The sequence below is a fragment of the Homo sapiens genome, chromosome 9 (genome assembly GCF_000001405.40).
Source record: "Homo sapiens chromosome 9, GRCh38.p14 Primary Assembly".
Classification (NCBI taxonomy): domain Eukaryota; kingdom Metazoa; phylum Chordata; class Mammalia; order Primates; family Hominidae; genus Homo; species Homo sapiens.
This window is the reverse complement of record NC_000009.12, coordinates 131,870,002-131,885,800: the sequence shown is the minus strand read 5'-3', so window position 1 is coordinate 131,885,800 and position 15,799 is coordinate 131,870,002. Positions and strand designations below refer to the sequence as shown.

General features: G+C 50.2%; 1 protein-coding gene across 5 annotated transcripts in view, besides 1 other annotated feature; it reads left to right on the top strand.

Annotated features, from left to right (window-relative positions):
* MED27 (mediator complex subunit 27) overlaps positions 1-15,799 on the top strand; it is a 219,756-nt gene that overhangs the window by 194,067 nt on the left and 9,890 nt on the right. For all 5 annotated transcript variants that reach the window (NM_001253881.2, NM_004269.4, XM_017015329.2 and 2 more), the window contains one exon: positions 1,702-1,743. In NM_001253881.2, coding sequence (NP_001240810.1) covers positions 1,702-1,743 — 42 coding nt within the window. The remainder of the gene's footprint in view (positions 1-1,701; positions 1,744-15,799) is intronic.
* Positions 8,573-9,073: an enhancer, noted in NCBI's record as "H3K4me1 hESC enhancer chr9:134752115-134752615 (GRCh37/hg19 assembly coordinates)". NCBI's record gives its function as "activates a minimal SCP1, AML or CMV promoter by ChIP-STARR-seq in primed H9 embryonic stem cells {active_cell/tissue: H9 hESC(primed)}" and the evidence as "EXISTENCE:reporter gene assay evidence [ECO:0000049][PMID:30033119]".

Sequence of the window (15,799 nt, the reverse complement as noted above, 5' to 3'; positions counted from 1 at the left end):
TCTGTCAGCACTGTATTGTGGGTAGTTCTATTTTTGCCATACTTAATTTGTTCTAAACTCTTGAAACAGAAGGCATTGATTTGTTGAAACAGAAGGGATTGATTTGGTATATCATGCAAACCAGTAAAAACCAAAATGTTTTTGGTTAGAATGAGCTACTGAAGTACCCTGTGTGTGACCAAGTGTGACCAGAGGAGGACTGGACTGGGTTTACTGTGAGCCCTACCCACATGCCAACTCACACCTCCTCCAGCTTCCTCATTCGTCAAGTAGGGGTGCCCTAGAGCAGGGGCTCTTGACCAGCCGGGCGTCAGTTACCCTTGGGAGCAGGGCTACAAAACAAACAATGGAACAGGCTCTTGGGCCCGCTCCAGCCATTGATTCAATACTCTAGGGGAGGAACTGAGCAATCTGTATATCAAAAAACAAAAACCTTCCCCCGGGGGCTTCTGATGCTCAGCCAGGATTTGAGCACCACCAGATGAGGCCATCTGTAAGATGCCTCGCCAGATAGCCTTGGGCTCATGAAAGGCTCTGAGCTATTGTTTCCCCATCTGGAGAATAAGACTGTGATGGGGCCAGTCACATGGGCCAGTTCTGGGGATTACATGAGTGTGTGTGGAGGGCCTAGTGCAGTGCCTGGCATGGAACAGGTGCTCAGCAGCTGGATGCTGCCAGCTTTCCTCCACTCAGAAAAGACCTACTGATGCCCACAACATGCCAGACCCCATTTCTGGACCTGGAGAGGCAGTGGGAAGGAAGGCAAGCCTCCTGTCCTCACTGAACTTCCATCCTGTGGGCAAGTCAGGCAGGAAACAAGTAAACAAAGAAATAATAGAGCTTCAGGCAGTTTTAAATATTATGAAAACTTTAAATTTTGAAATGGTAAAAAGGGTCCAGTGTAATGGCTCATGCCTGTAATCCCAGTACTTTGGGAGTCCAAGGGGGGCAGATCACCTGAGGTCAGGAGTTTGAGACCAGCCTGACCAACATAGTGAAACCCTATCTCTACTAAAAATACAAAAATTAAGCAGGCATGGTGACACACGCCTATAGTCCCAGCCACTCAGGAGGCTGAAGCAGGAGAATCACTTGAACCCGGGAGATGCAGGTTGCAGTGAGCTGAGATCACGCCACTGCACTCCAGCCTGGGTGACAGAGCCAGACTCCATCTCAAAAAAAAAAAAAAAAAAAAGTAAAGAGAATCAAGGTAACAGGTACTGGAAAGAATGTTTTGATAAGGTAACTGGGAAATGCCTCTCTGATAAGGTGACATTTGAGCTCAAGGGAGTATAAGAAGAGCCACATGGGGGTTTATGGGAAAAACAATTCAGGCAAAGGGCACAGCAAGTGCAAAGGGCCTGAGGCAGCATTGACCTTGGCATTGAGATATGCAAGAGCCGTGGTGAGAATCAAAGTTGAAAGTGAGCCAGGGGCTCAGCTTGCAGGAGCCTTGGAAGCAGCAGGTGCCTCAAGGTGACTTGCTGTATTCCTTCATTGACTTTTCTTAACTTGCCTACAAATGGATAAAGAAGAAATTAAGTCAGACATTTAAGATCCTTTTCAACCCTGAGATCCTATTATTCTATAATCAGATTTTTTTTTCAAGTTTAAGAAGGGTTAACAGTAGTTACAATATTATTTCTTGAAGTCCCGAATTCTAAGACCGATGCTGATGATCCTTCTCTCCTTTCCCCTCAGCTTGATATATGGTCCAAATCCAACTATCAAGTATTCCAGAAGGTAAGTTTTACTTTTTGCTTCTTACTCAAGCGGCATTAGGAAAACGTGAATGCTTTGAGGTTTAAACATTGGTCTCAAATCAGAGGCTTTTGAAAAAGTGAAAAAAGCCAGACAGAAAAGGATGCTCACTGTCTGATTCCATATGTATGACATTCTGGAAAAAAACAAAACCTTAGGGACAGAAATCAGATCCGTGGTTGCCTAAGGGTGGGTACAGGGACTTGGCCCCAAAGGGGCACAAGGGAGTGTGGGGTGGTGGGAATATTCTTTATCTTAATTGTGGCGGTGTTACACAGCCGTACATGTTTGTCAAAACTCAGGACTATATTACTACAAAGGGGCAGTCATATTGTATGTAAATTATACCTTAGGAAAACCATAGGTTTTTGAGATGTTCCAAAAACTGTATTCTGAAAACCTAGTTTTAAAACTCGGTTTCTCAGAGCCCTAGCGGTCTCCACTGGTGCCCAAGGGATGGGCCAAGGGAAGCAGGCTGGCACTCCCTCACCCTGCCCCTTCCCCACTTTGTGCTCTGGGGACACTGTATCTTTTTCAGATATTGGGCTTCCTTATGAAAAACTGTTATGGGAAATGTCAGACGAAATGAAAAGTGACCAGAGAAAATTCATTTCCCCAGCTCCTGACAGTGCAGGGCCCCTTCCCTGGACTAACTCAGGCCCTGTGGCTGATGAGGATTCTGTCCCCACCGCCACACCCCCACCAGTCCCCACAGTACTCAGGGCCAGCTCCCTGCAGGGCAGCAGCCGGCTTCTTCTGTTCTCATCCATCTTCTGTCTCTGGTCTCATCCAGTAGTGAAATAAGAGAGTTGGCCATCATCTCATTCATTCCCTCATCCAGCTCAACAACAGGTGTCCACTCCCCAGCACTTTGGGAGGCCAAGGTAGGCAGATCACCTGAGGTCAGGAGTTCAAGACCAGCCTAGCCAATATGGCAAAACCCTGTCTGTACTAAAAATATAAAATTAGCCGGGCATGGTGGCGGGCGCCTATAATCCTAGCTACTCAGGAGGCTGAGGCAGAAGAATTGCTTAAACCTGGGAGACAGAGGTTGCAGTGAGCCCAGATTGTGCCATTGCACTCCAGCCTGGGTGACAGATGAGACTCCATCTCAAAAAAAAAAAAAAAAGTATCCACTGAGCCCCTTTGCTCTGTGCCAGGCACTGTTAGGTGCCAGGGCCACAGAGGAAACTCCAACAGGCAAGGAAGCCTAACAAATGACTCCAGGTGATTAACTGGGGGCTGTGGCCAGGAAACACAAGGGGGCCTCCTTCTGATTAGGCTAGTCAGAGGAAGCCTTTGTAGGGGAAACTGAGGCAGGCAGTGTGAGGAGGAGGAGCCAGCCCCGTGAAGTGGGGATGAAGTGGAGGTAGAAGGCAGGGCTCAGGTCAGGGAGGTGCCTCTAGGCCCTGGTGCAGAATTCGGATTTTATCCTTAATTCAGTGAGAAACCACTGACGGGATTTACACAGAGGGGGATGTGATTTTGAAAGCTTGGTCCGAGTTATCCCCACGATGAAGAATGGTTGTGTCCACAGTGTGCCAGGAAGCACAGGACTCTTTTGTAGATCAAGGTGAAATTCACATAACTTGAAATTAACCGTTTTAAAGTGAATGCTCCTTGGCTTGATGTGCCTTCACAATAGTGTACATCCACTACCTCTGTCTGGTTCTAAAACATTTCCTTACCCCACAAGAAAATCTGGTGTGCATTGAGCAGTGAGCATAGGACTTAGTGGATCAGAGGGGCGTCATGGACCACCCTCTAGAGGTGTTTACTGTACATAATCCACAGTGCCCCCTGGGCCCCTTTTTGGTGATAAGGGCTAGGCAGAGGACAGGCGTCTAGGATTAGGGGAGTAGTCTGAGGCTGAAAACCACACATTTAGGGAACCTATATAAGCATTACAGATTCATGATCTGATCACAGCTAAATGCAATGTGCTACCCTGGATTGGATCCTGAAACAGAAAGAGGTTACTAATGGGGCCGGGTGCGGTGGCTCATGCCTGTAATCCCAGCACTTTGGGAGGCTCAGGTGGGTGGATTACAAGGTCAGGAGTTCGAGACCAGCCTGGCCAACATGGTGAAACCCTGTCTCTACTAAAAATACACAAATCAGCCAGGCGTGGTGGCGGGCGCCTGTAATCCCAGCTACGCGGGAGGTTGCAGTGAGCCACTGCACTCCAGCCTGGGTGACAGAGCAAGACTACATCAAAAAAAAAAAAAAAAAAAAAAAAGAAGAAGAAGAAGGAAGGGAGGGAGGGAAGGAGGGAGGGAGGGGTTACTAATGGAAAAACTGGTGAAATCCAAATAAAGGTTGGAGTTCAGTTATTAGTGAGTAACCAGTGTTGGTTTCTTTGTTGTGACAAATGTACCGTAGTAATGGAAGATGTTAACAATGGGGAAACGGGGTGAGGGACATGGGAACTGTCTATTGCATCTTTGCAGCTTTTCTGTAAATCTAAAACTGCTCTAAAATAAAGTTTTAACAAAGAAAATCATAGCTTGATTCTTCTAACACCCTTTACCCAACTGAGCTCCCTGGAAATGTAATGAAGAAAATAGCCTCCCTCCTTTCCTCCCTCCCTCCTTCCTTCCCTCCCTTCCTCCCACTCTCTCTTCCTCCCTGGTCCCTGGGTCTGAAGCATAAAGGAAGGAAGGGTGTGGTTACGCACAGGCTTTAGTGCAGGGAAGCACATTTCTCATCTTAGTGTTCTTACCTAAGTCACCATACCAGAGGTATTTACTTGTTTCGCATGCAAAAAGTCTCAGCCTTCAATGCTAACGTTTTCCGTGCTGACTGTCCTTGTCATTTTTCCCCCAGTGGCTGGTTGAAAAATATTCTGAGGAGAAAGAATGCTGCTCATTATCCTTGTCTTGCTTTGCTTTAATAGTGAAGAACATTAAAATGGTCAGCTTTTCCCCTCAATCTGGTCCTTATCTTCATGTCCTCTGTGGTATTGCAATGAGTTCCCTCCTCCAGTCTCCACAAAAGGCCAATGATGACTTCTTGAGGGCTGTAAGCATTGCAGCTTGTAACTTGGTATTTAACAATGGTCCATTTCCATTCCAATACCCTTGATGAGGGAGGGGCTTGCACATGCTCACTTTTGCATGTTTTTTTTTTTTAATGTTCTTGTAGTATTAAGTATTTTTTAATGCAAGCAGAAAGTGTATTAGGAAGTTGTAAAATGTATAAAACACAGATTTGGTGAAGCATAGATTTAGAAAGACAGTACTGTATTTTTATCCTACCTCCCTTGAAAATAACCTGCCAGGCACTCTTTGTATTTATTTAAAATTACAAACACACTCTGAAGCAGAAGTGTTTAAAATTTGATATTAGTCTAGTTGGAGAGATTTAGGAGCATCCGCCAATTCCTTCCTTCCAGTCTGTGTAACACGTTTCAAGTAGTAAAAATTGATGAATTCTAAGGGATGGGAATTTTATCTCACTGGTGAGTGGCATATCATGTGTATTTGTGCAGAAGCCTTTCTGAGATTCCTTTATCATCGCTCCTTTCACCTATTATTAACTAAGTGGACTTAACCTCTGATATTGACCTGTACCAGATTAAAGAACCACAATTGGGAGAGGTGGTAGTGCCTTCTGATTACAACTAAAGGCAGATAACATTGAAGTCCTTTTTTTTCAGGGACAAGTAAGAATTAAATTAGTGAGTCCTCTCTCTTCCTAACTAAAATGTCTTCCATTTGCTGTCAAATGAAGGAAACATATTGGAAAATAATGTACAGAATTAAGCTTAATCCTTTATCAATAAAGCCTTCAACTAATCATCATCACACAGAATGAGTTTGGGATCTTGTTAGAAAAAAAAAAAGCCTGTTTCTGTATCACTGAGCTTGTGGGAGATGGCGGTAGAAAGCACGAAGCATGCGCGGTGTAGCCTCCATCCCAGGGCGGTGACTGGCGTGCCTATTTCGTCGTGTTCATCTCAGTGGCCAGCAGGTAGACCTCCCTGTGCCACTGCCAGGCCCTGCACTACGTGCAGAGGTGGGACCACGTTGTCCTTTGCAGATTCAGAGACCTGGCACAGTTTATGGGGTGACGTTAAGTATTTCAAACCTAAATCACCAAAAGAGAAGGATTCGGTGGCAACGTTTCTAAACTCCGCTTTTTAGGATTTGCTATTCCTCAAGATTCTATTTTCCTCCTGTCCACCCACTTATATATGGGGTGTCATGATTGATGTTGCTTGTAGTGTTTCCCAGAAAGACGCTGTTTGGGAGCACTGCGGCAGACATCTTCCACCTGCTCTGCCTGTTTGCACCCAGCCAAGTCGACTGGCGAGGGTGGGGTTCGTTCCCAGCATCATCCAGAAAAGCTCAGCCTGCAGCAGTGGCATGAAGTGCATTGGGGAGCAGCATGACATGCTGGAGGATGCTCCTTGGTCATCAAGAAGAGGAGATTGCTCAGGCTGAAGATAGTACCCAGATGTCCTGACAGTGGTGGGAGGTGCCACAGCTATGCCCACCTCTGAGATGGGAGTTCTGGGCCACCAGCAGCAGCTCACATGGCATTAATGGAGGAATTCTCCTCCTGCTCTAGCTGAGGTAGAACCGCAGAGCTCCCTCTCCTAGGCCTTCATTATGTGGTTGCAGTCACTGTGTTAGGCCTGTTTTCTTGCCCACAAGAAGCAGCTGTGGCCAGCCCAGAACGAGGGAAAGCAGAACTCGGAAAGCAGGAAGCCACGCCCCCCACCCGTGCCCACCCTGAGGTCTCCTTCAGTGTGACAGGGTAGGGGGATTGCCTTGCAGAGCCAAACCAAGCTAACACTCACCTTTTTATTTCTGGCAAACAATGTCAGGAGGTAGGAGAATGGAAGCATGCCCTTGTCACATTCTCTCAGGCCCGTGCCTGACCCGCTGGCTTACAGCCTGAGCACCTGAGCTTCTGTAGCAAATCCCACCACAGGAAGCAAAATTCTGCCTTCCTTTTGTCTGCAGATGTTCATGCCATCAGCAAGCCCTTTTCACTCTTCCTCATTAGACCCCTTACCCAAGTGTGGAAGTAGCAGAGGGCTGGGGACAGCTTGCTATGGGTCTATGGCTGCTAACAGGTTCCCATCATTTACTGTGGTCCCTGGAGGCTCCTTGCACTTGGTCCTAGGGTGAAGAAGCTTTTTATAGCCAGCAAGTCTCCAGCAGAGTAGATTCAGAGAATGGGACTTAGAAATGGGCGGGGTGGGGGCGGGTGACCATCTGAAAGGGCAGAATCACAAAGAGCCAGGAAAGGTTTCAAGCGTGTTCATATTTTTCTGACATTTAAACTCTGCAGGGGCAGCCACTGTTTTGTTCTTTAACCCCCTCATTTCAAAACTCTGTGCATTTTCATCCAGCAATTTAGGGAGAGTAAGAGCAGACCGACAGCTACTCACTGCATTGTCTTGCTAGGGTGGCTGGAGAGAGAGGTGGAGTGTGTGTACCACCCAGGTTAGGCAGGGGACATCAAGAGAGAGGCCAAGAGGGACCCACACACACTTTGCAGCTTTCTCATCAGAGGTAAGGGACAGCATGAAAGTAGCCCGCAGATGTCCAGCTCTCCATCCACAGTCATTGCAGAGGGATGAGTAACCCTTTCAGTTCTGCACCGTCTGAACTTTTAGCTGTGAGCAAATGGATTGTGCATGGTGGGTCATGTTCTGGGCAGGGTGCCGCTTGCTTCTTCATTCCTTTGTTCATTTATTAGTTGATTATTTTTATTTTATTTATTTATTTATTTATTTATTTATTTATTTATTTTTGTAATGGAGTCTCGCTCTGTTGCCCAGGCTGGAGTGCAGTGGTGTAATCTCAGCTCACTGCAACCTCCACTTCCCAGGTTCAAGCAATTCTCCTGCCTCAGCCCCTAAGTAGTTGGGATTACAGGCATGCGCTACCATACCCAGCTAATTTTTGTATTTTTGTAGAGACGGGGTTTCACCGTGTTGGCCAGGCTGGTCTTGAACTCCTGATCTCAGGTAATCCACCTGCCTCGGCCTCCCAAAGTGTTGGGATTATAGGCATGAGCCACCGCGCCCGGCCTGTTCATTCTTTTTAATATGCAAGACTGGCCCCTAACTGAGGCAGACTTGATCAAGGTCTGTTTACTCGGTGGCCACCAGGTGCTTTTCAGTAAAAGAGATTGAGTCAGCCCTAGAAGACTCAGTTCTCTGAAAAGTGGGTGGACACCTGATATTGCGTTGGTGGGTACGTGGAGTACCTAGCGTAAATTGACTACCAACCCCAATAGTATTCAAAAATCCTAACCTATCGCTCATTCCAACTCCTAGGGAAGGAAACTGTTTCAACATGGGATCATTCCCCAGGGATTGGAACCGTCACCCTCCTCTGAGTCAGGTTGTGCTGCACACCTTAGTTGGGTGTGTGGTGCCGCTGCAGTGTTTCACACCACTAAAGAGGCTCCATAAACAGTCATTACATTGTTTTATTTATTTATTTGAGACGGGGTCCCACTCTGTCGCCCAGACTAGAGTGCAGTGGTGTGGTCTCGGCTCACTGCAACTTCCACCTCCCAAGTTCAAGCAATTCTCCTGCCTCAGCCTCTCGAGTAGCTGAGACTATAGGTGTGCACTGCCACACCCAGCTAATTTGTGTGTGTGTGTGTATTTTTAGTAGAGACAGATTTTCACCATGTTGGCCAGGCTGGTCTTGAACTCCTGACCTCAAATGATCCACCTGTCTCAGCCTCCCAAAGTGCTGGGATTACAGACGTGAGCCACTGTGCCCAGCCGCGTTATTTTCAGTTTCTAACATTTCCTCCTACCAGCCTCCTCTACATTTCCTTCCCAAAGCCTCTCTTCAAATGCCACAGATGAAGGCCTGGAAGAGGCCATGGTTGTGACAAAAGTTCTAAGACCTCAGGCCAGATCTCAGTCCCATTCCCTGTTCGGTGCCCTGCACAGGTGAGACCCCCACACTCAGAGGGACTCCACAGCTGGGAGCTGCCTCCCAGAGTCGTTGAAGGCCCTTCTGTCTTTTATAGATCTCAGCCCTCTGACCATCTCCCCGCCTCTTAAATGGTGATTAACTTTTTCCAACAGGGAGAACTTATGTTGTAAGGACAGAATGTGGTGTCATTTTCATCTGTTTCTGTGCGTTCTGTTGCTGCCTCACAAGTGTGTCCCAAACAGATAGAACTGAGGGGACAGCTTTCATCCTTGCAAAGGGAAATGGGCCGCTTCATGTAGCAAGACAAAGTTCTGTCCATGACTCCGATGAGTGGTATGCCCAAGAGATTTGTGCGTGAGCCCGCTAGTGGGCTGGCGACAGGCTTCAGGGAAGGAGCGGCGGCAGACGGTCCCAGGGCATCCCTGAGGGCAGCCCTTCCCTCAGCTGACAGCTGGACTGTATTGACCAGGTCGCCAAGCAGAAGCATCGGCGCGGGGCTCTGGGAGCTGAGAGCCGCAGGGAGGGTCGTTAGGCTTAATCCAACAGTCGAAAACCCTTTTACCGCCACCTTCTCTCTTAATGGTCTTGTTTGAATATTCATAAGCATCTAAACTAAACTCAGGACAGATTTGATCATTTGTTCTCCTCTTACGCCGCCCCAGTACCTTTCCTGCACAAGGCTCCCTCAGCCCCTGCTGAGTGTGAGCATGGCCCAGGAGCTCACATGAACCCAGTTTTATGGCTAAAATTGAACCAGGAAAGCCTGGGCCATCCTGTTGACTTTCTGAGGGCACGCTGCGTTGCCCTGGAAGTGGTCTGTGGCTTTCTGCCATTAGAGGAGTCACAGAGTAGTCATCTGTCATCTGTATAGCTTGTTTCTTCCTGAAGGGTTGTGCGGGCTGCAGTGTACTCAGGTCAAAATCTGAAAACTGCTTCTGGAAAGACTGCCCACCTTCCCATTCCCCAGGTCTCCGTCCTCAGCCCATAGGGCTGTAAACTCCATGCATGGGCTGCCAGCATGGCAGGACGGCCCCCACCCATCCGCTCTCTAAGCCCAGGCTGACCTCCCACCACATTCCCCACAGCGACCATCCCAGAGAGAGACCACATAGCAGAGTGGCTAAGAGCCATTCGCCGTGTCATCAGGTCCCGGCTCCCCTACTGTTTCCTGTGTGGATTCACTTGCCTCAGTTTCCTCATCTGTAAAACAGAGACGCAGCCGGGCGCGTGGGTCATGCCTGTAATCCCAGCACTCTGGGAGGCCGAGGCAGAGGATCATGATCCTAGGAGTTTGAGACAAGCCTGGGCAACATGGCAAAACCCCATCTCCCCAAAAAAATAAAAATTAGCTGGGTGTGGTGGCATGTGCCTGTGGTCCCAGCTACTCAGGAGGCTGAGGTGGGAGGATGGTTTGGGTGTGGGAGGTTAAGGCTGCAGTGAGCCATGAGAGTAGCTGCCCCACAGACTTGGTGTGAAGTTGAATTCGTAGGTATGAAGTGTAAGGTGAATGTCTTGTCTACCACCTGGTCAACTTCTCTGAAGTGCCTGTCAATGGTGACACTCTCTTGTCCTGAGAAAGTTCTCCCTCCATCCCCTGTGGGCAGGCTTCCTCCCGCAGGCCTCTTCCTCAGTGACCACCCCTTCCATCTGTGCTTCCCATATCTCCACAGTGGACACGGTGGCTCAGGGTATAGGCTGGAGTCAGACAGACCTGGGTTTGTGCCCAGCTGTCGTGTGTAAAGTCAACCCAAGACCCAGCTGCTATGACAGACCTACCCATTCCCACCAAAGCATTGTCTGCCTTCTCATTTTTTCAGGCATGTTATCTGCTCTTCTGGTCACAAAGTGAGCTGAAGATCCTGTAAGACACCACAGTTACAGCCGCGCAGCAGTGCCCTGTGGGCAGCCCTGATATGCTGATGTAGGCAGGATCCTGGGTCCAGGAACTGGATCAGTCCCTAGGGTCCTGGGAGGGCCAGTGGCGCAACCAGTGATCTCCAGAAGGCACCCGAGATTGAGATGTTGTGCCCCAATTTCCCGTTTCCCCCACTGAGCAGGGGTGGCTGGGGCGCCTGGCACCTTGGCGGCTGAGCTGCCTCTTGGCGGGGTCTCTCTCCCAGCTCTGCAGTCTGCATTCTTCTCCAGTCATTGCCTCAAGTTTGATGGAGAAGTAGGTGGTATTGTCTGTGTTTTCCTGGGAGCCCAGATGTCTTTGGATGTTTCTCTGACTGCAGGGCCGTTCCTACAGAAAATAATATCACACCAAGTGGGTGCAGAACAATTCAGGTGTCTTTGGGCTTGGACTCTCCTGGCAGCCAGTGACAGAAACTGACGTTTTACCATCTGGAAAGCACTGAACTTTTTTCTTTTCATCTAAATGAAAAGCCTTAATTCCTTAATCCTGAGAAAGGTCAAAGACCCAGCGCGTCTCCTCGCAGCTACGCACAGGGCCTTCGGCAGACGCCGAAGGCGGTCAGGACCCTGGAAAGTTCCCTCGTGTCTATCCTGGGGTTTCCCTGTTTGCCCAGGCCCCACCTTCCAGGCAGTGTCCACCTCTGCTTCTCCACCCCATCCCTTCCCTCTCACTCCGCTCCCCTTTCCCCAGTGGCTGAAAATCAATACATACACTCCTGTCCACTTTCTCTCCCATTCACTCAGGCTCCTGCAAGGTGAGCCGTACCCAGTGCTGAGCCACAGTCCTCTCGGAGGCCCTGAGCTAGGCCCAGGGAGGATGGAGATGTGGCAGGTGTGGCCTCAAGGAGAGCACAGCTTGGGGGACAGGGGCATCTGGTCATAGGTCTGGCAAGTGCCCGGCGGGGGTGTGCAGAGGATGCTGCTGAGAGTACAGGCAAGGCTGGGATGGGGAAGACCCTGAGCTGAGTCCTGAGGGGTGAGAAGGGCTTAGCCTGACAGGAACATTCCAGGCAGAGGGGCCACTTGAGCACAGACGTGCGCCAGGAAAACGTGTTGGGGCGGGAGGCGGATTCCTCCAGGAGCCGGCATTGCTGCCATGGAAGGTGGGGGCTGAAGGGAAATGCGGCTGAGACCCAGGTCCGCAAGGCCTCCTTTGCTCCACCAGGGCTTTCAGAAGGATCCTGTAGGTGGCTGTGGAGTGGCCAGCGGGGGTACATCACCCCTAAAGGCTGTCTGCAGCCAGTCTGCACTCAAGGGTCCAGGGAGTTGGGGGCTTCCCTTTCAGGCGTCAGTGGCACCCTGGCTGGGACTTTAAAGAGGATAAGGTTGGAACCCCCAAACCAAACCACATCTGATATGTAGAGGCCCTGGTGTGTGCCAGAGATCTTGCTGAGTACATCCACAGGCTCGCCCCTCTCAGACACAGAGCTTGATCTCTAAAGTGTCAGCAGGGATTTCGGACAAGATGGAGCAGCAATGTCTGCCTTCACCTCTCCAGTTCCAGCTCAGGCAGCCTTGCCTCTGGTCTCATCCCAGAGCAGCATGCCTGGCTCTGGTGGACAGTTATAAGCCCTTCAGAGCCCATGCAAATGGCTCCTTCATTAAGCAGAGGAGGAAATATTGATCCCATCCAAGTAATCCCAAGTCCCTGTGGGCTTCGATGTTTCCTCTCCAGGCTGCTAGGCCCGCTGAACCTGTGGCATACAAATCCGAGGTACAGATTAGAGACGAGAGCTGCATAATAAAAAATAAATCCCCTGCTTCCGCTCTACTGTACTTTCATCCCCATTTGAGAAGCTCGTCTCTGCGCACTCCCCATCGCCCCCTAACATCACTGTCAGGGCTGACTTCATAGCATTCCAGTTTCGAAATAATGATGGCTCCTCTTTTCATGGAATGAGTACTTCTGGGACTGTTTTAAATATTCTTCATCGAACCAGCACACATCCTTAGAGCAACACTGCTGGCAGGGATTGCTGTCTCTTTAAACATTTAACACACTTGGTTCATGTCTTTGCCCACAGGACCCACAAAGAGTTTTCTCCTTCCAAGAGATTCCTACTGTCCCTCTCCTTACTGGTGGGTCTGTCCTTGGCAAAACTCTTAGTAGAGACCCAAACTCTTGGGCTGATCTCCTTGTGTAACATTAAAATACATCTACCCAATGAAAGTCCATTCTGATCTCTGCATCGTGGGAACTGCCTGGGCACCTGTGCCTAGCACACGTTTGGCTTTGCTGCCTGCTACTTGAGTGCTCCAAAGTCTGGCTGAGCGGCACAGAGGCTTCCCACACAGAGGACAGTGCTGTGCAGGTGGCCTCCCTGGTTCCAAGCTGAATCCTCAAGCTCTTTGAACTGGCCTGGAATCTGAGGCCCACCTGAGGGTGCCATCGCATCAGGGCAGCAGGTGGGTTCCTGGATTGGGGCAGGAACTTCAGGGCACAGTGTGCACATGCTGCCAGGAGATAACTAGGACAGCTCAGGCTCTGCAGCAGCATCTGCTGAAAACCTAGACCTAGAGGGGCCTGCAGAATCACCCAGCCCCACCCCAGCCTCCCCACGCTCTTCTACCGAGGGCCAGCAGGGAAGAGGCCCCCCAGGCCATTCGCCACTAAGCTAGGGTCAAACCCCGGTCTCCTTACGGTTCCCCTCTGTCTGCCTTTTTGTCACTTTCACCCAGATCTAAGAGAATCTTCTCTTCACAGTACGTAGAAGCCGATATTGGCTGGAGGGAAGCCACAGTCTGGGTCCCTACCAGGCTTCTCTTTTAAATAAGCAACTTCTAAACACTTGAGTACTTAACTTTCCCTGTTTACTAATCTTGTGAGGAAATACTCCGAATAGTAGAGGCGCCCGCTCTTCTAGCTTGGCCTCGGGGGCTGTGTGCTGGCAGATAATGCCCTCAGCAGGTGCGTTAGGAAGAGCGTCTCTGTTCAAGCTCAGCTCCCCCAGGCGCTGCTCGGCCACAGTCCTGTCCCCTGGTGGTGGGAAGCAGGCAGTGGCCCGCAGCGGCCCTTGAACCTGCACCCAAAATCATCTCAGGGAGCCTGTGAACTCCTGGGTCCTGGTCCCCAGCCTGGTCCACCAGCCAGGAGCTGGAAGGCGGTTCCCAGCAGTCAGCCTCCAGCGTCTGTTCCTCACCTGCATGCTGCGTCGCCAGCCTCCACTCCGGCCCAGGAGCATGCCCCCTGGGGCCAGATGATGCCCATGACCTTTGGGCACTCGGGAGCCCCTGAGGACAATCCCTGGATCACTGAGAAATACAAGGGCCCCTGTTTTAGAATGCCTGGCAGGAACTGTAAGTTTCCATTTAAATCAAATCAAATACCCCAAGTTGAAAGTATTCAGAAAATTCGGAGGAAAAAAGATAGGAAAGAGGTGCAAGGTTGGCCCATAACCCCAGCACTTTGGGAGGCAGGAGGATCATTTGAGCCTAGGAGTTCAAGACCAGCTTGGACAACATGGCAAGACCTCGTCTTTACTAAAAATTAAAAAACTAGCCAGGCGTGGGGGTGTGTGTCTGTAGTCCCAGCTATTTGAGAGACTGAGGCAGGAGGATCACTTGCGCCCAGGAGTTCGAGGCTGCGGTGTGCTGTGATCAGACCACCACACTCCAGCATGGGTGACAAGTACAAGGTCACCCCTGAAACAGAGGACAAGGGTCTTGCTGTGAATGGTGCCGTTGTTCCTGTACCAGGCTGGTGACTGGCATTGCCATCTTCTTAACTTTTCCCCTTCAAGGAGCCCAACAGGCCCTTGCTTTTTAAAGAGGAAACTGCTGAGGACAATAGTGTATTAAGAGGGTTTTTCTCCCCAGTCCTTTCTGTGTCATTACAGTGTCCTTTATTCTTCCCTTACTGCTACAGAACAAACCTCTATCTGGTCAACATAAAACCTGGAATCTGGGAGTTAAGCTTAAGTGAGAAATCATCTTGCTAGGCCTAAACCTGTTATCTTTGCCCCCACCGCAGGAGAGGGCCTGAGTAGGAAAAAGCGTGTGGGTGCTGCATACCGAATGTGGGGTGTATGGTAGGGTGAGCACCGAATCCGGGGCGTACAGCAGGACGCACACCTGGATCCAGGGCTCACAGTAGGATGCACACTGAATCCCGGGCACACAGTGGGATGCACACTGAATCTGGGGTCCACAGTAGGACCATCCCACTCTCCCCGCCCTGCACCTTTTCTCACACTACACTTTTTCATTCCCTCGATGAATGTGTGGGCATGCCCACCTGATGCAGCCGCCTTGTATTTGCCCGATTTCCCCTTCTTTGTCCACAGCAGGGAGACTCATTCAATCTGGAGGTCTTCTTGAGGGCCCACCGGTGTCTCTGTCAGACCGTTTGGAGGGTTGGGGCCAGCACATAGCAGGGAGCCAGACAGGTTGAAGCTTCTGGCTGAGAGGTGGAAGGAACATTGTATAAGTGACAGGAACTGGGGTGTAAGTGAGGAGACTTGTTATCCAATCCCATCTCCACCCTCAAAGTGCTGAGGTCCAGTCCCTTCTGGGGAGGAGAGGGCCTGGAAATGGCACTTTTCTTCATCCCCCCACAACCCCTGTCCACCCCAAGAGGCCTGGAGTGGGGGGCCCATGAGGCTTGGGGCATAGAGTCTGGGCACTCAAGCTGGGGTTCAGAAGGTCGGAACAAACTCCTGCTGTGCCACCTAGCAGCTCCTTGGCTTGGGCAAGTCACTTAACCTCCCTGTGACTTAGCCCCCTGACTTAGAAGTCCCAAACGTGAGAGTACCTCTGTCATAAGGTCATCGTGGGGATTCAGCGGGCTAAAACCACGAGGGGACACATTTGGCGGGCGCTTGCCATGCGTCGTACACTTGAGGTCTGTATGTCAGTGCACTGTCCCTGCATCGGCCCATTTAATCCTCGCCCAAGGTCACACAGCTCACAAGGGACAGATCCAGAGGCTGGGCTCCTGTTGGAGGAGCCACACACCCTGAGCTGTGCAGCGTAGACCAGCTCTTGCACAGGATTAGTGCTCAGTAAATGGCGATGTGGGTTGTTGCTGTTATTGCAAGCAGTGCCACTCTGGGTTTAGCTAAAATAACTCATGATCTCCAAAGCACCCTCCAGCTCTGATTGTAGGAGGGGGGCTGTCAGGAGCTCCATGCACACAATATGGCAGAGGAGCTTTGGGAGACTGTTTTGACTGGCATCTCCTTTTCCAGCACGTTGACTGGCAGCTGTTTCAA